This window comes from Homo sapiens, chromosome 16 (genome assembly GCF_000001405.40).
Source record: "Homo sapiens chromosome 16, GRCh38.p14 Primary Assembly".
Lineage (NCBI taxonomy): Eukaryota > Metazoa > Chordata > Mammalia > Primates > Hominidae > Homo > Homo sapiens.
Genome location: NC_000016.10, coordinates 69467226 through 69486271, shown reverse-complemented (window position 1 = coordinate 69486271; position 19046 = coordinate 69467226). Strand labels below are relative to the sequence as shown.

General features: G+C 45.0%; 2 annotated features.

Moving 5' to 3' along the window:
• Nucleotides 15789-15958: an enhancer, noted in NCBI's record as "active region_11041". NCBI's record gives its function as "activates an Ori minimal core promoter by ATAC-STARR-seq in GM12878 lymphoblastoid cells {active_cell/tissue: GM12878}" and the evidence as "EXISTENCE:reporter gene assay evidence [ECO:0000049][PMID:35858748]".
• Nucleotides 18721-18770: an enhancer, noted in NCBI's record as "active region_11040". NCBI's record gives its function as "activates an Ori minimal core promoter by ATAC-STARR-seq in GM12878 lymphoblastoid cells {active_cell/tissue: GM12878}" and the evidence as "EXISTENCE:reporter gene assay evidence [ECO:0000049][PMID:35858748]".

The window sequence follows — 19046 nt, the reverse complement described above, 5'->3', positions numbered from 1 at the left end:
CACCCAGCACCTGGACCAAATGGAGACCCTCCAGTTCAGAATTTTGTTCAGGAAGGTAGTGGGCCTGTCCCCTCACTGGGAAGCCAAGTAACTGGTTGAGCTTCAACGTTTGTGCTCCTGGGCCCACTGGACCAGAATATAGAAATCATTAGAGACAGAAAGAGATCAGTGATTGTCAGGGGCCAGGGCTGGGGAACTGGGGAATGAGGAGTGACTGTTAATGGGTACGGCACGGAGTTTCTTTTCGAAGTGATGAAAATATCCTGGAATCAGTGGAATTAGATGGTATCTCTGTGAATACACTAAAAACCACTGAATTGTAAACTTTAAAAGGGTGAATTTTATGGAATGTGAATTGTATCTCGATAAAAAATTTAGAGGGCTGTACATGTATTGAGATCGAATTTATATGCAATAAAATGCACCCACTTAAATGTAGAGTTCAATGGTTGTTAAAACATATACCCATGCCACCACCACCCCAATCAAAATATGAAACCTGTCATTCCAAAAAGTTCCCCTGTGCCCCTCAGCCTTTTTTTCCACCCGCATGGCCTGAAAAAGTCAGTGGACCCCCAAACCAAGGAGTAGCTAAAATCCCCAGAGCCTAGAGATTATTAAGGTCTCCTCAATATGCTGAACTGGTCCCACCAGCCAGGGATGATGTGGAAAGAGTCAGACAGATGTGGGTTTGGATCCCAGTTGTCACTTGTTAGCTATGTGACCTTGGGCGATTTACCTAACCTCTCTGAACTTCAGTTTCCTCATCTCAAAAAAAGAAAGAAAAAATAAATAAATTAGGCTAATAACTTGAACTTTGTAGGGTTACTGTGAGATCAGATGAAATTGAGGTATGCAGTTGGCACTTAATACATATCAGCTCTTCTTTCCTCCTCCTGCCTGCCAAGGAGATTAACTTTCTGCAGGGACAAGGTCAGCCAAGCCACTGTCTCTTAAGGAGGATTTTAATCATTTTTGTTTTTCTGGAAGGGCAGGAATAGGAGACTTTGACCTGAGAAGAGACCCTAACTTTGGTGCTGCTAAAAAGCATTAAGCTACAGTTTCTATGGGGCCTTAACCACTGTGCATTTGCAACACATTATGTTTCAAAGAAAATTGTCTGCACCAGGTGTGTTCACCTGGAAAACGGTCCACTGTCTTTCTATCTGTAGTGCCACCAAAGAGATCCGAGGCACCACGACCTCACTCACCTGGACCACGAATCAGCTTCTCACAGGTCCCCCATTTCCGTTCTTGCTCCCAAAGTTATGCTCCTTTCCACAGTGATCAGTTCTAAAAATGCAAATAGGGCCGGGCACAGTGGCTCACACCTGTAATCCCAGCACTTTGGGAGGCTGAGGCAGGCAGATCACCTGAGATTAGGAGTTCAACACCAGCCTGGCCAACATGGTGAAACCCCATCTCTACTAAAAACAAAATAGCCAGGCATGGTGGCACATGCCTGTAGTCCCAGCTACTCAGGAGGCTGAGGCAGGAGAATCACTTGAACCCGGGAGGCAGAGGTTGCAGTGAGCGGAGACCGCAACACTGCACTCCAGCCTGGGCAACAGAGCAAGACTCCATCTCAAAAAAATAAATAAATAAACAAAAATACAAATCGTTTCCACTCTACATTCTCCATTGTTTTCCCATCACCCTTGCAATAAAATCCCAACTCATTCCCATGGCAAGCAAAGCCCACTGTGACCTTGCTTCGCCTACCTCTCCCATCTCATCTCTCATCTCCCCGGCCTCACTCTGCGCTGGCCACATGCGTTTCTTCTGTTCCTCAAGCAAACCAACTTGTTCCAACCCCAGAACCTTTGCAGCAGCTCTTTCCTCTGCCTGGAGCTCTCCTTCTCCAAATGAAGGTTTCAGCTCCAATCCTGCTTTCTTAGGGACATCTCTGATGATGTTCCTGCCACCATCACATGGATCATGTCAACTTATTTTATGTTCATTTTTGCACTTGTCGCTACCTAAAATCATCTGGTACCTTGTGTGCGTTATTCACCAAGTACCCCCGGTGCCTAGAATTCTGTCTGGCACATGGCAGGCACACAATATGTGTTTATTTAATTGAGCCCCTTTGACTCGTCATTGATGTCTAAGTCAATGACCTTCAGGATCAAGTCTGTCTTCGTATGAGAGCGTCTAACATGTAAGTGTCTAGACAGTCATTTTATTTTTGGTATTTTTGGCAAAGTGAGTTGCTTCTGGAAAACCAGACAACGCCTGTCTCCCTAGAGTCTCATCCAAAGCTGTGCCACCTCTTCTTCAATCTGCCAAGACTCGCACTGCCTGGCCCCTCCATCAGAAAGAGGCATGGATAAGACAAAGATTTTACAAATCTTACTGGAGCATTCTACTGAAAAATAGGCATGCCACTGGATTGGACCCTTCAACCAGAGGCGGCCAGAGCTAGCAAGAGCTTGTGCTCCTCAGCGGGTTGAACACATGGGATTAATTCAGGCAGGAGCCAGGCGAGAAATGCCGGCCCCTGCAGAGTGCTAAAGAAGAGGAATTTTAAGATCCAGACTGAACAGAAAGCTGTTGTGAGGGTGGGGATTAGGAGTGATGAAGAGAGGTGGGAAGGACTTACTGCCTTAACCCAAGGGATCTGAATCTACTAGGGTTGATATTAAATGTTTAATCTGGGGCCAGGCACAGTGGCTCTTGCCTATAATCCCAGCACTTTGGGAGGCTGAGATGTGAGGATCACTTAAGGCCACGAGTTAGAGACTAGCCTGGTCAACATAGTGAGACAACCATCTCTATTTTAAAAAAAAAATTATTATATTTTTTTTGAGATGGAGTCTTGCTCTGTTGCCCAGGAGTGCAATGGTGCAATCTTGGCTCACTGCAACCTCCACCTCCCAGGTTTAAATGATTCTCCTGCCTCAGCCTCCCGAGTAGCTGGGATTACAGGCACCTGACACCACGCCCAGCTAATTTTTTAATTTTTTAGTAGAGACGGGGTTTCGCCATGTTGGCCAGGCTGGTTTCGAACTCCTGACCTCAGGTGATCCACCCATGTTGGCCTCCCAAAGTACTGGGATTACAGGTGTGAGCCACCATGCCCAGCCTATTTTTTAAAATTTTTTAAAGTTTAAATAAAATTTAACAAATAAAAATTTAATTTGGGGCATTTACATGTGTGAGTGTGTGTGTGTGTGTGTGTGAGTGTGTGTGTGTGAGAGTGTGTGTGTGTGTGTGTGTGTTTTAGAGAACTGGTCTGTAGTTTTTTATCAGGTTTGCAATAGGATCTGTGTCCCAAAAGGTTAAGAACCACAGTTCTGGAAGGCATGCAATTAGGCTAGCAAATCATCTCCATCCTAAACATGACCTGAACTGAAACAATCAAGAGAAAGGAAAAGTGCTTCATGCTCCAAAGAAAACAAAAGCCACTTCCAACAGGAATTGGCTGTCACATTCTCTGCACTTGGAAAAAAAAATCAACAGAGCATCCGCCCAGCCTGCCCAAGGCCCATCCCTTAAGCCCAGGTCCCCAGGGAAGGCAGTGAGCTTTTGTTTTCCAGTCTGTGGGCAACTGGCTGGGCAAAGAGCCAGTGGGGAGAGATCTCGATGGAAGAAAATACAGCGATGTGCCGAGTCGAGTGGGCTGGAAGCACCCGAAGGTGGGCCCTGGCTGATGCCGGGACAGAGATGCTGCGATGACCCATCGCAGGAGGAGCCATGTGCTGGCTGCTGCCTTCTCTCCTTCTCTCTTGACTTTGCTCCAGCCAGGATGTTGGGCCTGCTTTTCTCTCTTGGTGCTCCGGGCACCTCAGTATTAATCATGGGCCTCAGTGTTTTTCTAAGTAGATTTTTGGACCCTTCATGGTTGGCAAGTCCATGTTTCTCCCTGGGGCCACCCGTGCTATCAGATCAGAGCACCTGCCTATATTTAAGGTTGTGTCACGTTTGGTTTTCGGCGAACACTCCCTTCGCCTGGCCCTTCTTGCCTTTGTAAGAGAAGGACCTAGGACATGGCAAATGTCCCAGTGAACGCTGGAAGGAGCCCTGAGAGCAAGCGGGAGGGCCCGGAGCCAGCGTGCTGCGCCAGCACTCCGTGTAACCTCCAGGGAGGGCGCAGTCCACACATGTCCTGGCTTCCGAGAGGCAGGCCCTGGGTGTCAGCTCACAGCCATCCGCTCCAGCTCAGCCTCTCCAGCAGCCCCAGGGATTCTCACTGGGCCTGGAGTTGTTGTTTTTCTGTGTTTGCATATATGTCCTATCTTTACAGGAAACCAGGGGGATTCCTGGTTTCCTTCCCCAAATCTGTTTCTCCTCCAAGCTTTCTTATCTCAATAAACAGTGCCTTCATCACCCAGGTGCTCATCTTTCAGGTCCCAGCTGAAGCAGCACCTCCTCCTTGGAAAGATCCTCCCAAGCACCAGATCTGAAGTGACCCCATCACCCACCCACACACCAAGATACCCTCCTTCATGCCAGCCTGTTTGTTGATCACATTCTGTAATTATTTCATTTTTCTGTCTGTCTCCTCACTCAAAATGTAGAGCTGGCTGGGCACAGGGGCTCACGAATGTAGTCCCAGCACTTTGGGAGGCCGAGGTAGGTGGGAGGATCGCTTGAGCCCAGGGGTTTGAGACCAGCCTGGGCAATATAGTGAGACCCTGTCTCTACAAAAAAGAAAATTAAAAAATTAGCCTGAAGTGGTGGCATGGGCCTGTAGTCCCAGCTACTGGGGAGGCTGGGGTGGGAGGATCGCTTGAGCCCAGCAGGTCAAGGTTGCAGTGAGCTGTGATCACGCCACTGCACTCCAGCCTGGGCGACAGAGGAAGACCTTGCTCAAAAAATAAAAAAATAAAAAATAAAAAGTAGAGTCTATGAGGATGGGAACAGCTGGACATACTGTGTTTGTTTCTTTCGATTCACTCTCCAGCCCTCTCCCCTCCTGCCTACAGCTCAGGAGGCTGACCAATGGGGACTGTGCCTCGGGGGTCTCTGCAGACTCCTGGGTCGCCCACGCGCAGTTCCCATCCACGGAGGATCCCCAAGCTCCCAACTCCAAAGGCTTCCGGTTTGTGTCCCCTAAGGGGAGGCACAAGTAGGAGATGAGAGAGTGGAGGACAATGAGGCCAGGATGGCTCCCTCCCTGCTGTGGACCCTGCCCGCTCCCTCTGCTGCAACCCTTACCAGGCTCTAGTAACCACTTTCTCCCCTTGCCTGTCTGGGCAGTAACAGCTGCCATGTGTCACCAACCCTGAAATGCTTCACCATGCCTTCAACTAGTTCCTCTCTGCCCTGCACACATGGCTGCAAATGTCCCTTCATGAAACTCTCCTCAACGACCCTTTTTGAATGTGCCATTTGTTACCTGTCAGGAGCCTGGGGATGGTTCTGATCAATACTGGGGCCACGTCTGACTCATACAGTGTTTCCCAGCAACGTGCTGGGGAATGTCTGGCGTGTCTTAGGTACTTAATGCGTGTGTTTTGAATACATAAATCAATGATAAAGATATTGTGATTTTATTTACATTTTTATTAAGAAAGAATTTATGGGTCGGGTGTGGTGGCTCACACCTGTAATCCCAGCACTTTGGGAGGCCGAGGCAGGTGGATCACTTGAGGTCAGGAGTTTGAGACCAGCCTGGCCAACATGGGGAAACCCCGTCTCTACTAAAAATGCAAAAATTGTCTGGGCATGGTGATGTGCGCCTGTAGTCCCAGCCACTCAGGAGGCTGAGGTGGGAGGATGGTTTGAGCCCAGGAGGCGGAGGTTGCAGTAAGCTGAGATCGCATCACTGCACTCCAGTCTGGATGACAGAGCAGGACTCCATCTCAAAAAAAAAAAAAAAAAAAAGAATTTATGCACCACAAAATTCACCCTTTTAAAGTATACAATTTAGTGTTTTTCAGTGTATTCACAAACATATGAGATGAGACCATTACCACTGTCTAATTTCATCCCCTCAAAAAGGAACTCTGTGCCCTTTGGCAGTGACTCCCCACATCTCCCCTCCCCCTGCACCCGGAAACAACTTATCTACCTTCTGTCTCTATGAACTTGCCTATTTTGGACTTTTCATTCCAATGGAAGTTACAGTATGTGGTCATTTGTGTCTGGCTTCTTTCACTTAGGCACAGTATTCTTAAGGTTCACCCATGGTGGGGCATGTATCAATACTTGATTTCTTTTTATAGCTGAATAACATTCCAGTATATAGAGACAACACACTTTGTTTACCCATTCATCAGGTGATAGACGTTTGGGTCATTTCCGCCCCTTTGGGCTATTATGAGTAAGCTGCTATGAACATCGGCATACTTGTTTTTGTGTGAGCATGTTTTCAATACTCTTGGGTACATATCTAAGAGTGGAATTGCTGGGTCACATGGTAACTCTATGTTTAACTTTTTGAGGAAGCATACTGTGTTTTCCATGGGGCTACCCAGTACTTTCTTTATCCTGTGGTCCCAGTTATTGGCATCTGCATGGAAAAGAACCCAAACAGACAAGGATGTGAATCAAAGGAAGGCTCAACACTGCAGGTCCACTCCAAGGTATACATCCAGGAGACATTCTTGCACACACAAACCAGGCTATAAACGCAGTAATGCTCATAGTAGTATTGTTGGCAAAAAACAAAAAAAAACAAAAAAAAAAACCAATGACCTAATGTCCATTAACAGTAGATTGAGGTGGGTGTGGTGGTTCACACCTGTAATCCCAGCACTTCGGGAGGCCAAGGCAGACAGATCACCTGAGGTCAGGAGTTTGAGAACAGCTTGGCCAACATGGCAAAACCCTGTCTCTACTAAAAATTTAAAAAAATAATAAAAATAAAAAAATTAGCCGGGCATGGTGGCACTCACTTGTAGTCCCAGCTACTCAGGAAGCTGAGGCAAGAGAACTGCTTGAACCTGGGGTATGGAGGTTGCAATGAGCCGAGATTCCACCACTGCACTCTAGCCTGGCCGACAGAATAAGACTCCATCTCAAAAACAAAAAATAAAACAATAGATCAGATAAATACATTGTGGATGATGCATCCAAAAAAAATACGAATGACAGCTACACATAACAGCATGGGTGAATCTCACAAACATATTGTTGAAAGAAACACATCACAAGAGAATACATACATTATGATTTCATTTATACAAAGTTCCAGAACAAGCAAAACTAAATCATGTGGTTTAAGATTGCAAGTGTAGGTACAAAAACTATTTTAAAAAAATTACAACCAAAAAACCAGGATATTGGTTGTCTCTGGCAGGAAGAAAGGGAGACACGTCAGAGAGGGGCACAAGAAAGTCTTCCAGGCTGTAGCCAATGTTCTAGTTCTTGTCCTGGGTGATGGATACATTGGGGTTTATTCTGAATGGCTCATAACTGTATATAGGTACTTACCTACTTATGCCCTATTCTGAAAGGATTTTTTTTGTGTTTGTTTTTTTGAGACAGTCTCGCTCTGTCACCCAGGCTGGAGTGCAATGGCGTGATCTCGGCTCAAGTGATCCTCCTGCCTCTCAGCCAGGCTGGTCTCGAACTCCTGGATCAAGTGATCCTCCTGCCTCAGCCTCCCGAGTAGCTGGGACTCCAGGCACACACCACCATGCCCAGCTAATTTTTATATATGTGTGTATATATATATATATGTATATATATGTGTGTGTGTATATATGTATATATATGTGTATATATGTATATATATGTGTGTATATATGTATATATATGTGTGTATATATGTATATATATGTGTGTATATATGTGTGTATATATATATGTGTGTGTATATATATGTGTGTGTGTGTGTGTGTGTGTGTGTGTGTGTGTGTGTGTATATATATTTTTTTTTTTTTTTTTTTTTTTGTAGAGATGGGGTCTGGCTATGTTGCTCAGGCTGGTCTCGAACTCCTGGGCTCAAGTGATCCTCTTACCTCAGCCTCCCAACATACTGGGCTTACAGACGTGAGCCACCACTCCCAGCAAGACCTCTAGCTCATTTTGTTGTTTATGGAAGAAGAATATGTGGGCTTTGGGGACCAAAGTATCTGGAGAAAGACCTGGCTCAACTAGAGGAAATCCAAATAAGGAAAATTAGTGGAGCCTGAGGCAGGAGGATCACAGAAGACAGAGGCTACAGGGAGCCATGATCACACCACTGTACTCCAGTCTGGGTGAGAGTGAGACCCAGTCTCCATAAATAAATAAATATATACATACCTAAATAAAAACTAAAGTTCTCAATAACCTAGACAGCGTAAGGTTTATAGTTGCTTTCTTCTAAGTCCAGTGATTTCTTTGGAGTTTTCCTCCCATAAATAAAATCTTTCTCTCAAAATGTTGCTGGACAAAGTTCTCCAAGGACCGTTGCTAGTCCATTAGTTTTTATCTGGTTTTTCATATTAATTATGACTGGGTTCTAAAAATGATGAAGCTGTTCATTGGCAAGGCTTTGAGGCCCTTCCATCCAAACCAAAAGGGAAAACATTTCGACTGAGATAAGCGTGGGTTGGCCACACACTGGTGACAGGAAAGCTTTACAATAAGCTTCTGGGAGTTTGTGAAAGAAAGCAGAACCTACCGCTTCATTCGGCTGCCTGGTACAATAACCACAATATGCCATCCATATCCTTCCAGGCAAGATATAAACAGTTTGTTTAGAGGTCTGGCTACAATATAATACTTAAAAAATAAACTTTTTAAATTGACGTAGAACTTACCAAAAAACACACAAATCATAAGCACACAGCTCAGTGAATTTACCCTAAAGTAAACTATAACCACCACCCAGATCAAGAATTTACTGGCATTCCAGAAGCCCCTCTCAGTCACTGTCGCCACCCTCTCCCTAAAGGCAACCATTATAACTTTAATATTCTGACCTCCATATTTTTATATATCTGATGGCCCAGATAATTATCTCTGGAGGCCAGCGTTAATCAGAAGCTGGGAGGATTGCTTGCCCATGAGTCATTCCTCTTAGGAATAGTTTATCAGTGAGGATGCTTCCAGCTGCAAGTAATAGAAACCTCAACTCAAATGGCTTAAACAACAAGAAAATTTATGATCTCCACATAAATGGAAGCCCTGCTGCAGGGTTAACTGAGTGAGCAGCTTGAGTCAACAGAGACCCATGTTCTTTCCACCTCCTGCCTTGGCCATCCTTGCTGTTTGCTTCCTGCTCCAGCTGGTGGTAGAACAGCCACCAATGCTCTTTCTTGTGGCTCTCTCTTTGGAGAGGAAACTTCTCCCAGAGGTCCCTCTGCAGACAGCACCTCACAGTCCATTGGTGAGAACAGGGTCACATGTGCAACCAGCCAGACCAGGGGCTGGGATTATCCCAATGTCCTAGACCTATCATTGGGGTGGGATGGACATTGAGAGGTCCACTCCAAAGCTCCCCAGAGAAAGACATGTAACTAAATGGAAAGTGTCTGCTTTCCTTTATAAACATGCTTTACATTACTAATTGGTAACAAGAGTTATAAACAGGGGAGGTACGTGGCTAAACATACTGTTGGAGATTCAGGGTTAGAGGGAAGAAAGTAACTCTTTGATGAAAGAATAAATTGACCATGGCAAAATAAACACAGCAGCTCTTGCTCTTTCTCCTCTGAACGTCAACGATCCTTCCTGACTGAATTGCCTCTTTGGGTACTAAGTCATAAACATATTTTTTTTAATTATTGGGATAGTGTCTGTTACCAGTTATGTTAAGCATGGGACATCATGTTTCAGTCCAATTTAGGACGAGTCCCCCCTCTTTGCAAATCACATGATGACATGCAGTGCACACGGGGCATGTCATTTAAATGCCTCAAGGTGTGCAAGCTGCAGCTCTTCCAAAGACTCCAGGTTCCTTCAGTTACCTCAATAATATCCAATAGCCATTCAGTTGCCCTAGATGTTTGAATATCCTCTCACATTAAAAGCCCAATTTTTACAATTAAAAATTGCCACCATTAAAAGCACTGTGGTGGCCAGGCACGGTGGCTCACGCCTGTAATCCCAGCACTTTGGGAGGCTGAGGCAGGTGGATCAGCTGAGGTCAAGAGTTCGAGACCAGTCTGGCAAACATGGCCAAACCCCATCTCTACTAAAAATACAAAAATTAGCTGGGCGTAGTGGCGGGCGCCTATAGTCTCGGCTACTCGGGAGGTTGAGATGGGAGAATCGCTGGAACCTGGGAGGCAGAGGTTGCAGTGAGCTGAGATCACACCATTGCACTCCAGCCTGGGCAACAAGAGCAAAACTTCGTCTCAAAAAAAGAAAAAAAGGCCGGGCGTGGTGGCTCACGCCTGTAGTCCCAGCACTTTGGGAGGCCAAGGTGGGCGGATCACAAGGTCAGGAGATCAAGACCATCCTGGCTAACACGGTGAAACCCCGTCTCTACTAAAAATACAAAAAATATTAGCCAGGTGTGGTGGCGGGCACCTGTAGTCCCAGCTACTCAGGAGGCTGAGGCAGGAGAATGGCAGAAACCCGGGAGGCAGAGCTTGCAGTGATCTGAGATCACGCCACTGCACTCCAGCCTGGGCGACAGGCTGTTTTGAGACTCCGTCTCAAAAAAAAAAAAAAAAAAAACAGTCACGGTGGCTTATGCTTATAATCTCAGCATTTTTTGGAGGCCAAGGCAGGATTGCTCGAGCCCAGAAATTCGAGACCAATCTGAGCAACGTAGCAACACACTGTTTGTACAAAAAAAAATTTTTTAATTAGCGGTGGGATGGTGCACATCCTTAGTCCCAGCTACTCAGGAGACTGAGCCAGGAGGAGTGCTTGAGCCCTGGAGTTTGCAGCTGAAGTGAGCTATGAATGCACCACTGTACTCTAGCTTCGGTGACAGTGAGATCCTGTCTCTTAATAAATTATAATTAAAATGTAAAAGTCCCATTTTTTTCTAAAGGATATTATAAATATGAATCATACATATGGATACATGTATTAATATTTATATTCTCAAGGTGGCTGAGAATGTAACACACTTCCATCTCTTTTTTTTTTTCTTTTTTGAAGACGGAGTCTCACTCTGTCACCCAGGCTAGAGTGCAGTAGTGCGTTCTTGGCTCACTACAACCTCTGTCTCCTAGGTTCAAGCAATTCTCCTGCCTCAGTCTCCCGAGTAGCTGGGATTACAGGCGCCCACCACCACACCCGGCTAATTTTTGTATTTTTAGTAGAGATGGGGTTTCACAATGTCAGCCAGGTTGGTCTTGAACTTCTGACCTCAGGTGATCCGCCTGCCTCGGCTCCCAAAGTGCTGGGATTACAGGCCTGAGCCACCGTGCCTGGCTAAGAGGTCTTTAAATAATCATTCGCAGAGGATGAACACACAAAGTAATATTATTCTTAATACCAGCAAGAGAGGATGAATACCAGGGCAATTCCAATTGAAGAGTGAAAAGTTCAGCACATCCTTCAGAAAACTAACATTCCTGAGGAAGGTTTTTTTTTAAATGTTTCTAAGATTTTAATTGTACTATATTTATAAGGCATTGTGTCAGCACAAATATTATAAACATTATAGCTAATAGGCACAGTTCTAATATGAGAAGGTACACCAATAGTACCTGATCTTGATGGGCCTAATCCTACCCAAGTTTTAGAAAATTTATTCCTTTTTACAAAGTAAAAATATAATATTGCACAATCATCAAATATTTTGGTTGTTTTTATGATATCCAACAGCCATTCAGTATTCCTGGGATGTTTAAATTTTCATTCCTGTTAGAATTCCAATTCCTTTTCAAGAATAACATAGGAGTCATATACATTTTGCTGTTCATTCTTATGTCAACCAGAAATGTATCTTTTATTTGTAACTTAATACTACTTCCCTTTGCTTTTCAGTGTAGGTTAGGCCTTCTTGAAAGAAGTTGAATATTTCATGATGTCAAGACCCAATGTAGCCAAGGATCCTCCAATGAGGACCCTCAATGTTACAAAGAAGCCTCTGTTAATTTGTTCCGTGAAGGTCAGATGAAGGTTGTGGAGATTTTAAGAGGAATGCTCTTTTCTACCATACCAGCAGAGTGCACATTTTTCACTTCTGTTTTGCTAAAACTACCCCCAGCCAAGCAATCCAATGGATTCTGAGCATCTTCTATGTGTAGGGCGTTGCACTGTGATATGGTTTGGCTCTGTGTCCCCACCCAAATCCCATCTTGAACTGTACTCCCATAATTCCCAAGTGTTGAGGGAGGGACCTGGTGGGAGATAATTGAATCATGGGGGCGGTTTCCTCCATACTGTTCTCATGGTATTGAATAAGTTTCACGAGATCTGATGGTTTTATCGGGGTTTTTGCTTTTGTGTCTTTCTCATTCTCTCTTTGCCTGCTGCCATCCATGTAAGACGGGACTTGTTCCTCCTCCTTGCCTTCGCCATGATTGTGAGGCTTCCCCAGCCACGTGGAACTGTAAGTCCAATTAAACCTTTCTTTTGTAAATTGCCCAGTCTCAGTATGTCTTTATCAGCAGTGTGAAAACAGACTAATACATACTGGTATAGTGAAGGAACATAGAGTAAGAATACTGCCCCATCTCTGCCTTCAGAGACTCCAGTCTATTTGGGAAGACTAACAAAAACCATTCAGGTGCCAAAAAATGACATGGCACAAGTGTGACAGGGACTCAGGGAAGGGAGAATTCAGTTGGAGTGGACAAGAGTGATTTGAGGTTTCATGGAGAAAGTGAGACTTAGGCTGGTCTTTGAAGGCTGGATATGACTTAGCTAGGCCGATGTGGCAAATATGCTGCCTGTGTACTGCCACTCTCTTCATGCCAGTGTGGTTCCACTTCCTACTGAGCTCAGACCCAACACAGTGCTCCAGGCAACCCAAGCCCATCCACTGGAGCCAGAACTCATGACAAAATTCATTTGCCAACAGAAATGGGTGGGAGTGGATATTGGATATTGGCTCATGGAAAACAACGCTCAAAAGTACAAGGGGTAGGAAAGAACAAGGTGGGAGCAGAAGACAGTGGATGTGGCCAGCTGAAAGTAGGTTCTCTAGGCAATAAAATCTGATAGGTAGTATTGGATCAATTCATAGAAGATATTGAAAAACAGGCAGTTCTCAAAGAATGTTTAATAAAGAATAGCTTAGAGGCCAGGCACATTGGCTCATGCCTGTAATCCCAGCACTTTGGGAGGCCAAGGTGGGTGGATCACCTGAGGTCAGGAGTTCGAGACCAGCCTGGCCAACATGGTGAAACCCTGTCTCTACTAAAAATACAAAAAATTAGCCAGGTGTGGAGGTGCGTGCCTGTGGTCCCAGCTACTCGGGAGGCTGAGGCAGAGGTTGTGGTGAGCCAAGATTGCACCACTGCACTCCAGCCTGGGCAACAGAGCAAGACTCTGTCTCAAAAAAAAAAAGTGATAATTCATAATTCTTATGAGCAAATGATTTCTTAAGTAAATAGATTGGATTCATTTTAAAAGAATTATGTGACCAAAATGATTTCTACTTTCCAGGTACCTAAGAAAAGGTACACCAGCATTGGATTTAAGATGCAAAATATCCAGTTCCACAGTGAAACGGGCATTCTTAGATCTTGCTGGTGGGACGGTAAATTGTGCCACTCTTAGAAAGTAGTTAGAAAGTGATACAGAGACTTAACAATATACACATCTTTAGACTGAATAACTTCAGAGCAAGAAATTGATCCTAAAAAAAAAAAAGCCAAGAAAAGGCTTTCAGACAAGTATTTCTTTACAATGCTGCTTATAATTTCTAGAAGTCTTATTCTCTGAATGTTCCTTTTTTTCTTTTTTTTTTTTTTTTTTTTTGAGACGGAGTCTTGCTCTGTCACACTACACTCTGTCGGAGTGCAATGGCGTGATCTCAGCTCACTGCAACCTCTGCCTCCCAGGTTCAAGTGATTCTCCTGCCTCAGCCTCCTGAGTAGCTGGGATTACAAGCACCTGCCACCACACCCAGCTAATTTTTGTATTTTCAGTAGAGATGGGGTTTCACCATGTCTGCCAGGCTGGTCTCAAACTCCTGACCTCAGGTGATTTGCCTGCCTCGGCCTCCCAAAGTGCTGGGATTACAGGCTGAGCTGGCTGAATATTCCTTTTCTAAAATAGCATCCTACTGTATTCATGGAGACAATGTCATCTCTCATCTCTTTGGTGTTATCAGCTTGTTGTTTTGTTTTCCCTGTCAGTTTTATTCTGCATTGTTTTTTTCTTTTTCTTATTTTGTTTTGGTCTCTAAGTTTCATGGGAAGGCTTTCCAAAAATGGTTGATGGCCTTTGGCTATCCACATTTAGGCAAGTTACTAAACACCTTTTGGGGCCGAGCATGATGGCTCACGCCTGTAATCCCAGCACTTTGGGAGGCTGAGGCAGGCGGATCACGAGGTCAGGAGATCGAGACCAGCCTGGCCAACATGGTGAAATCCCATCTCTACTAAAAATAGAAAAACTAGCCAGGTGTGATGGCACATGCCTGTAATCTCAGCTACTTGGAAGGCTGAGGCAGGATAATCGCTTGAACCCGGGAGGCGGAGGTTGCAGTGAGCCGAGATCACGCCACTGTACTCCAGCCTGAGCGACAGAGTGAGACTCCATCTCAAAAAAAAAAAAAAAAAATCTAAATATCAATCCACTATAAAATTCTGTGAAACCTGAGCGTGGTGTGGTGTGGTGGTATGTGCCTGTAGTCCCAGCTACTCAGGAGGCTGAGGAGGGAGGATCACTTCAAGGCCAGAAATTTGAGACTGCAGTGTGCAGTGATTGATTGTACCTGTGAAGAGCCACTGCACTCTTGCCTGGGCAACCTAGTTGAGACCCTGTCTCTAAAAATAAATATGTAAATAAAAAGAAATTTTAAAATCTATGAAACCAATCTCCTATCCAGAAAGATTCTAAATAATTCATGTAGACATTCTGCTCTCAGGGAGATGGAGCATAACTCCCCACTCCTTAAGTGTGGGCTGTGCAGCGACTTCCTGCCACAGTGTGGAACAATATAGAAAGTCCCTCCTGAAGAGTGACTAGAGAGTGGAGGAACCTGATAAACAGTCCCTCAGCCAGGTGATCAAGGTCAGCATCAACCATCACAGATCATGTTGACAGTGTGTCCTCTGGAGATGAAGTAATGAAAATGGCAATTTATCCCTGTGGTCTTCCTCTCCCCATTTCATAACCTCTGTCTAATCATGAGAAAAACATCTGACAAATTTTAACAGAGGGCATCCTACAATGTACCTGACCAGTACTCCTTAAAACTGTCAAGGTCAGCTGGGTGCGGTGGCTCATGCCTGTAATCCCAGCACTTTGGGAGGCCAAGGCGGGTGGATCACGAGGTCAGGAGTTCAAGACCAGCCTGGCCAGCATGGTGAAACCCCATCTCTACTAAAAATACAAAAAATTAGCCGGGCGTGGTGGCGGGTGCCTGTAGTCCTAGCTACTCGGGAGACTGAGGCAGGAGAATGGCGTAAACCCAGGAGGGGGAGGTTGCAGTGTGCTGAGATTGAGCTGAGACTCCGTCTCCAAAAAAAAAGAAAAAAGACAACAGGCAAAAACTAAGAAACTAGCATAAGAACTTCAATAATAACGTACCAATATTGGTTCATTAATTGTAACAACTGTCGCATATAAACATGTAATGTTAATAATAGGGGAAACTGGTTATGGGACCTCTACTTTTTTTTTTTTTTTTTGAGACGGAGTCCCACTGTCGCCCAGGCTGGAATGCAGTGGCACGATCTCAGCTCACTGAAACCTCCACCTCCCAGACTCAAGCAATTCTCTTGCCTCAGCCTCCCGAGTAGCTGGCATTACAGGTGCATGACACAACACCCAGCTAATTTTTTTTTTTTTTGTACTTTTAGTAGAGATGGGGTTTTCCCATGTTGGCCAGGCTGGTTTCAAACTCCTGACCTCAGGTGAGCCGCCCACCTTGGCCTCCCAAAGTGCTAGGATTACAGGCATGGGCCACTGTGCCTGGCCTATACTATCTTCATTATAGCATGGCTATAGTTGTGCATGCAGGCACAGCATGATAAGCCATACTGAATCCACTTCGCCCTCCCTGTGGCCCAGCCTAATGCAGGGCACCCTGAGAAATGCAGAAGTGCCTTCCTTCAGAGGGCTTTTAGTTCATTAATGAAGACATTTAAATATACATGCAGTATGCAATTACAGCATCTCCCTGGGGAAACTGCTTTCCCTATGATCCCTTTCCCATTCAAGGCTGGGGGATGGGTCCCCATCCCCTTGATGGGACCAGAAGTAGACACTCATATTACTCAGCCAACCACATTTTCACTTCTAATTATTAATTTCCTTCAGAAGTTTAGACAGGAAACTAAAGTAACCACTTTGGTTCCTATGGGTTTCTGGTTCCTGTTCCTAGTTCCTCAGGAGGGCCAGCTGGGATTTCTACCCTTGTGTTCCACCAGATACTCATTCGTTACTGATTCACAGCAAGTCATTTCTCTCTTACCTATGTGAGCTTAAGTGGGTTTCTGTATCCTACTCTATGACAATAATAATCTGTAGGTGTTTTAAAGTGAAGAATGTTTCCTCTTTCCAGAGATACTGAGACTTGGCATGGAATAAAAAATGAGTTTCTGGGCACAGTAGCTCACACCTGTTATCCCAGCACTTTGGGAGGCCAAGGCCAAGGCCAGAGGACCACTTAAGCCTAGGAATTCAAGACCAGCCTGGGCAACATAGCAAGACCTTTTCTCTAAAAAAAATAAAAATAAAAAAAATTTAAATTAGCTGGGCACGGTGGCATGCACTTGTAATCCCAGCAACTCGGGAGACTGAGGTAAGAGGATTGCTTGACCCTGGGAGGTGGAGGCTGCAGTGATCCGTGATCATACCACTGCACTCCAGCCTGGGCGACACTGTGAGACCCTTACTCAAAAAATTAACAGCAACAAAATGACTTTCTGTCTTATGGGAACTCAGGTATACTTGGAAAGGAAGAACTCTTTTTTTTTTTTTTTTTTTTGAGATGGAGTTTCACTCTTGTCCCCCAGGCCGGAATGCAATGGTGCGATCTCAGCTCACTGCAACCTCCACCTCCCAGGTTCAAGAGATTCTCCTGCCTCAGCCTCCCAAGTAGCTGGGATTACAGGCATGCACTACCAGGTCCAGCTAATTTTTGTATTTTTAGTAGAGGCAGGGTTTCACCACGTTGGCCAGGCTGGTATCAAACTCCTGACCTCAAGTGATCCACCCACCTCGGCCTCCCAAAGTGCTGGGATTCCAGGTGTAAGCCACCGCGCCCGGCCAGAAAGGAAGAACTCTTATAAGGACATTACCCAGGCAAGTGTTTTAAGGTCAGATAAGTTGCAGAGACCATAGTTGTCAAGAGACGTGGGTTTCAGAAGCCCTATTTGAAGTAACTTAAAAGGCAAATTTGACTCACATGAAAGGCCCAGAGCTAGAATGTAGCTTTAAACGAAGGTGAATAGAGATGTTCAAACAGAACTGCATTATTTCTGGATGGTCCAGCTTATAAACAAATTATTTCTTCCCAGTGTTTTTAGGACAGAGTGTCAAGTACATTTTTGTACCACAACACAAAAATGAAGATGTAGCCAGTGCAGTGGTGCGTGCCTGTAGTCCCAGCTACTGGGGAGGCTGAGGTCGGAGGATGGCTTGAGCCCAGGAGTTCCAGTCCAGCCTGGGCAACGTAACAAGACCCCAGCTCTAAAACAAAAGAAAAAGAAAAGAGGAGTATAGCTGAGGTGGTGTCTTTTATAAAATAAAACACAAGGCAAAGCAAGGGGGCAAGATGAGGTAGGATGAGAGGTAGGGAAAAAAAGTTACAAAAGAGAAAAAAGGGTCAGACTGGGAGTCTCGGAAGCTCATTTTCCAGTGCTGTTCATGACTTAGCCTCTCCTGGTTCTATCTCTATTTGTCTCTGATTAGATTTCTTAGGTTATTAAAATCAGAGTGAGTAGGTCTGTCAGAAGATTCTTATTATGAACATCATTGTATTGTTTGGGAAGACAATCCCACCTCAATTTCTGAAAAATGGGAAAAAAAGAAAAAAGGAAATTGGGGCCAGGCACAGTGGCTCATGCCTGTAAACACACACTTCAGGAGGCTGAGGCAGGAGGATTGGCTTGAGGCCAGGAGTTTGAGACCAGACTGGGCAACATAGACTCTACAAAAAAAAAAAAAAAATTTGACGTTGCTGGGCATGGTGGCACACAGCTGTAGTCCGAGCTACTTGGGAGGCTGAGACTTGAGCAGAGGAGTTTGTGGCTACAGTGAGCTATGACCATGCCACTGCTCTCCAACCTGGACAATAGAGCAAAACCCTCTTTACAAAAGCCAAAAACTATATATTTACATACACAGTTCCAGGTTAAATTTTATCCAGGATCCTAGACTGATGGAGTTATGCAAGGACTTCTCATCTGTGCTGCTTAAGGATTTCATCAGTTGTCCTCAATTCTCAATCCTTTGCCTCTTATGAAAAGTTGTTTCCAGCAACATAGTCCAGATCTAAATTCTCATTAACTGGCTTCAGGAAACTTTTGCATGGGACTCAAGGGTCATTTCAAACTAGTCTCTACTGAGGCAGGTTTAAACCCTGGCTCTCAGGCGGTGGCTCACGCCTGTAATCTCAGCACTTTGGGAGGCCAAGGCGGGTGGATCACTTGAGGCCGGGAGTTCAAGACCAGCCTGGCCAACATGGCATAACCTTGTCTCTACAAAAAAATACAAAAATTAGCCGGTTGAGGTGGCGCATGCCTATAGTCCTAGCTACTTGGGAGGGTGAGTGAGACAACTGCTTGAGCCCAGAAGGTGGAGGTTGCAGTGAACCAAGATCACGCCGCTGTGCTCCAGCCTGGGGGACAGAGTGAGACTCTGTCTCAAAACAAAACAAAACAAAAACTCTGGCTCTCCTCTTACCTCTGTGGTCAAGTCAGGTGGCTGTCTGAGTTGCCATAAAAATGTCCTTACAAGGTAGACAGGGACTACCTTGTAAGGACACTGTAAGAGTAAGGATCAGCAAGGTTTGTAAACCACATTGCATGGCACATAGTAGGCATCAGAGAAATGACAGCATTGCAAGTGCATCCTCATGTTTC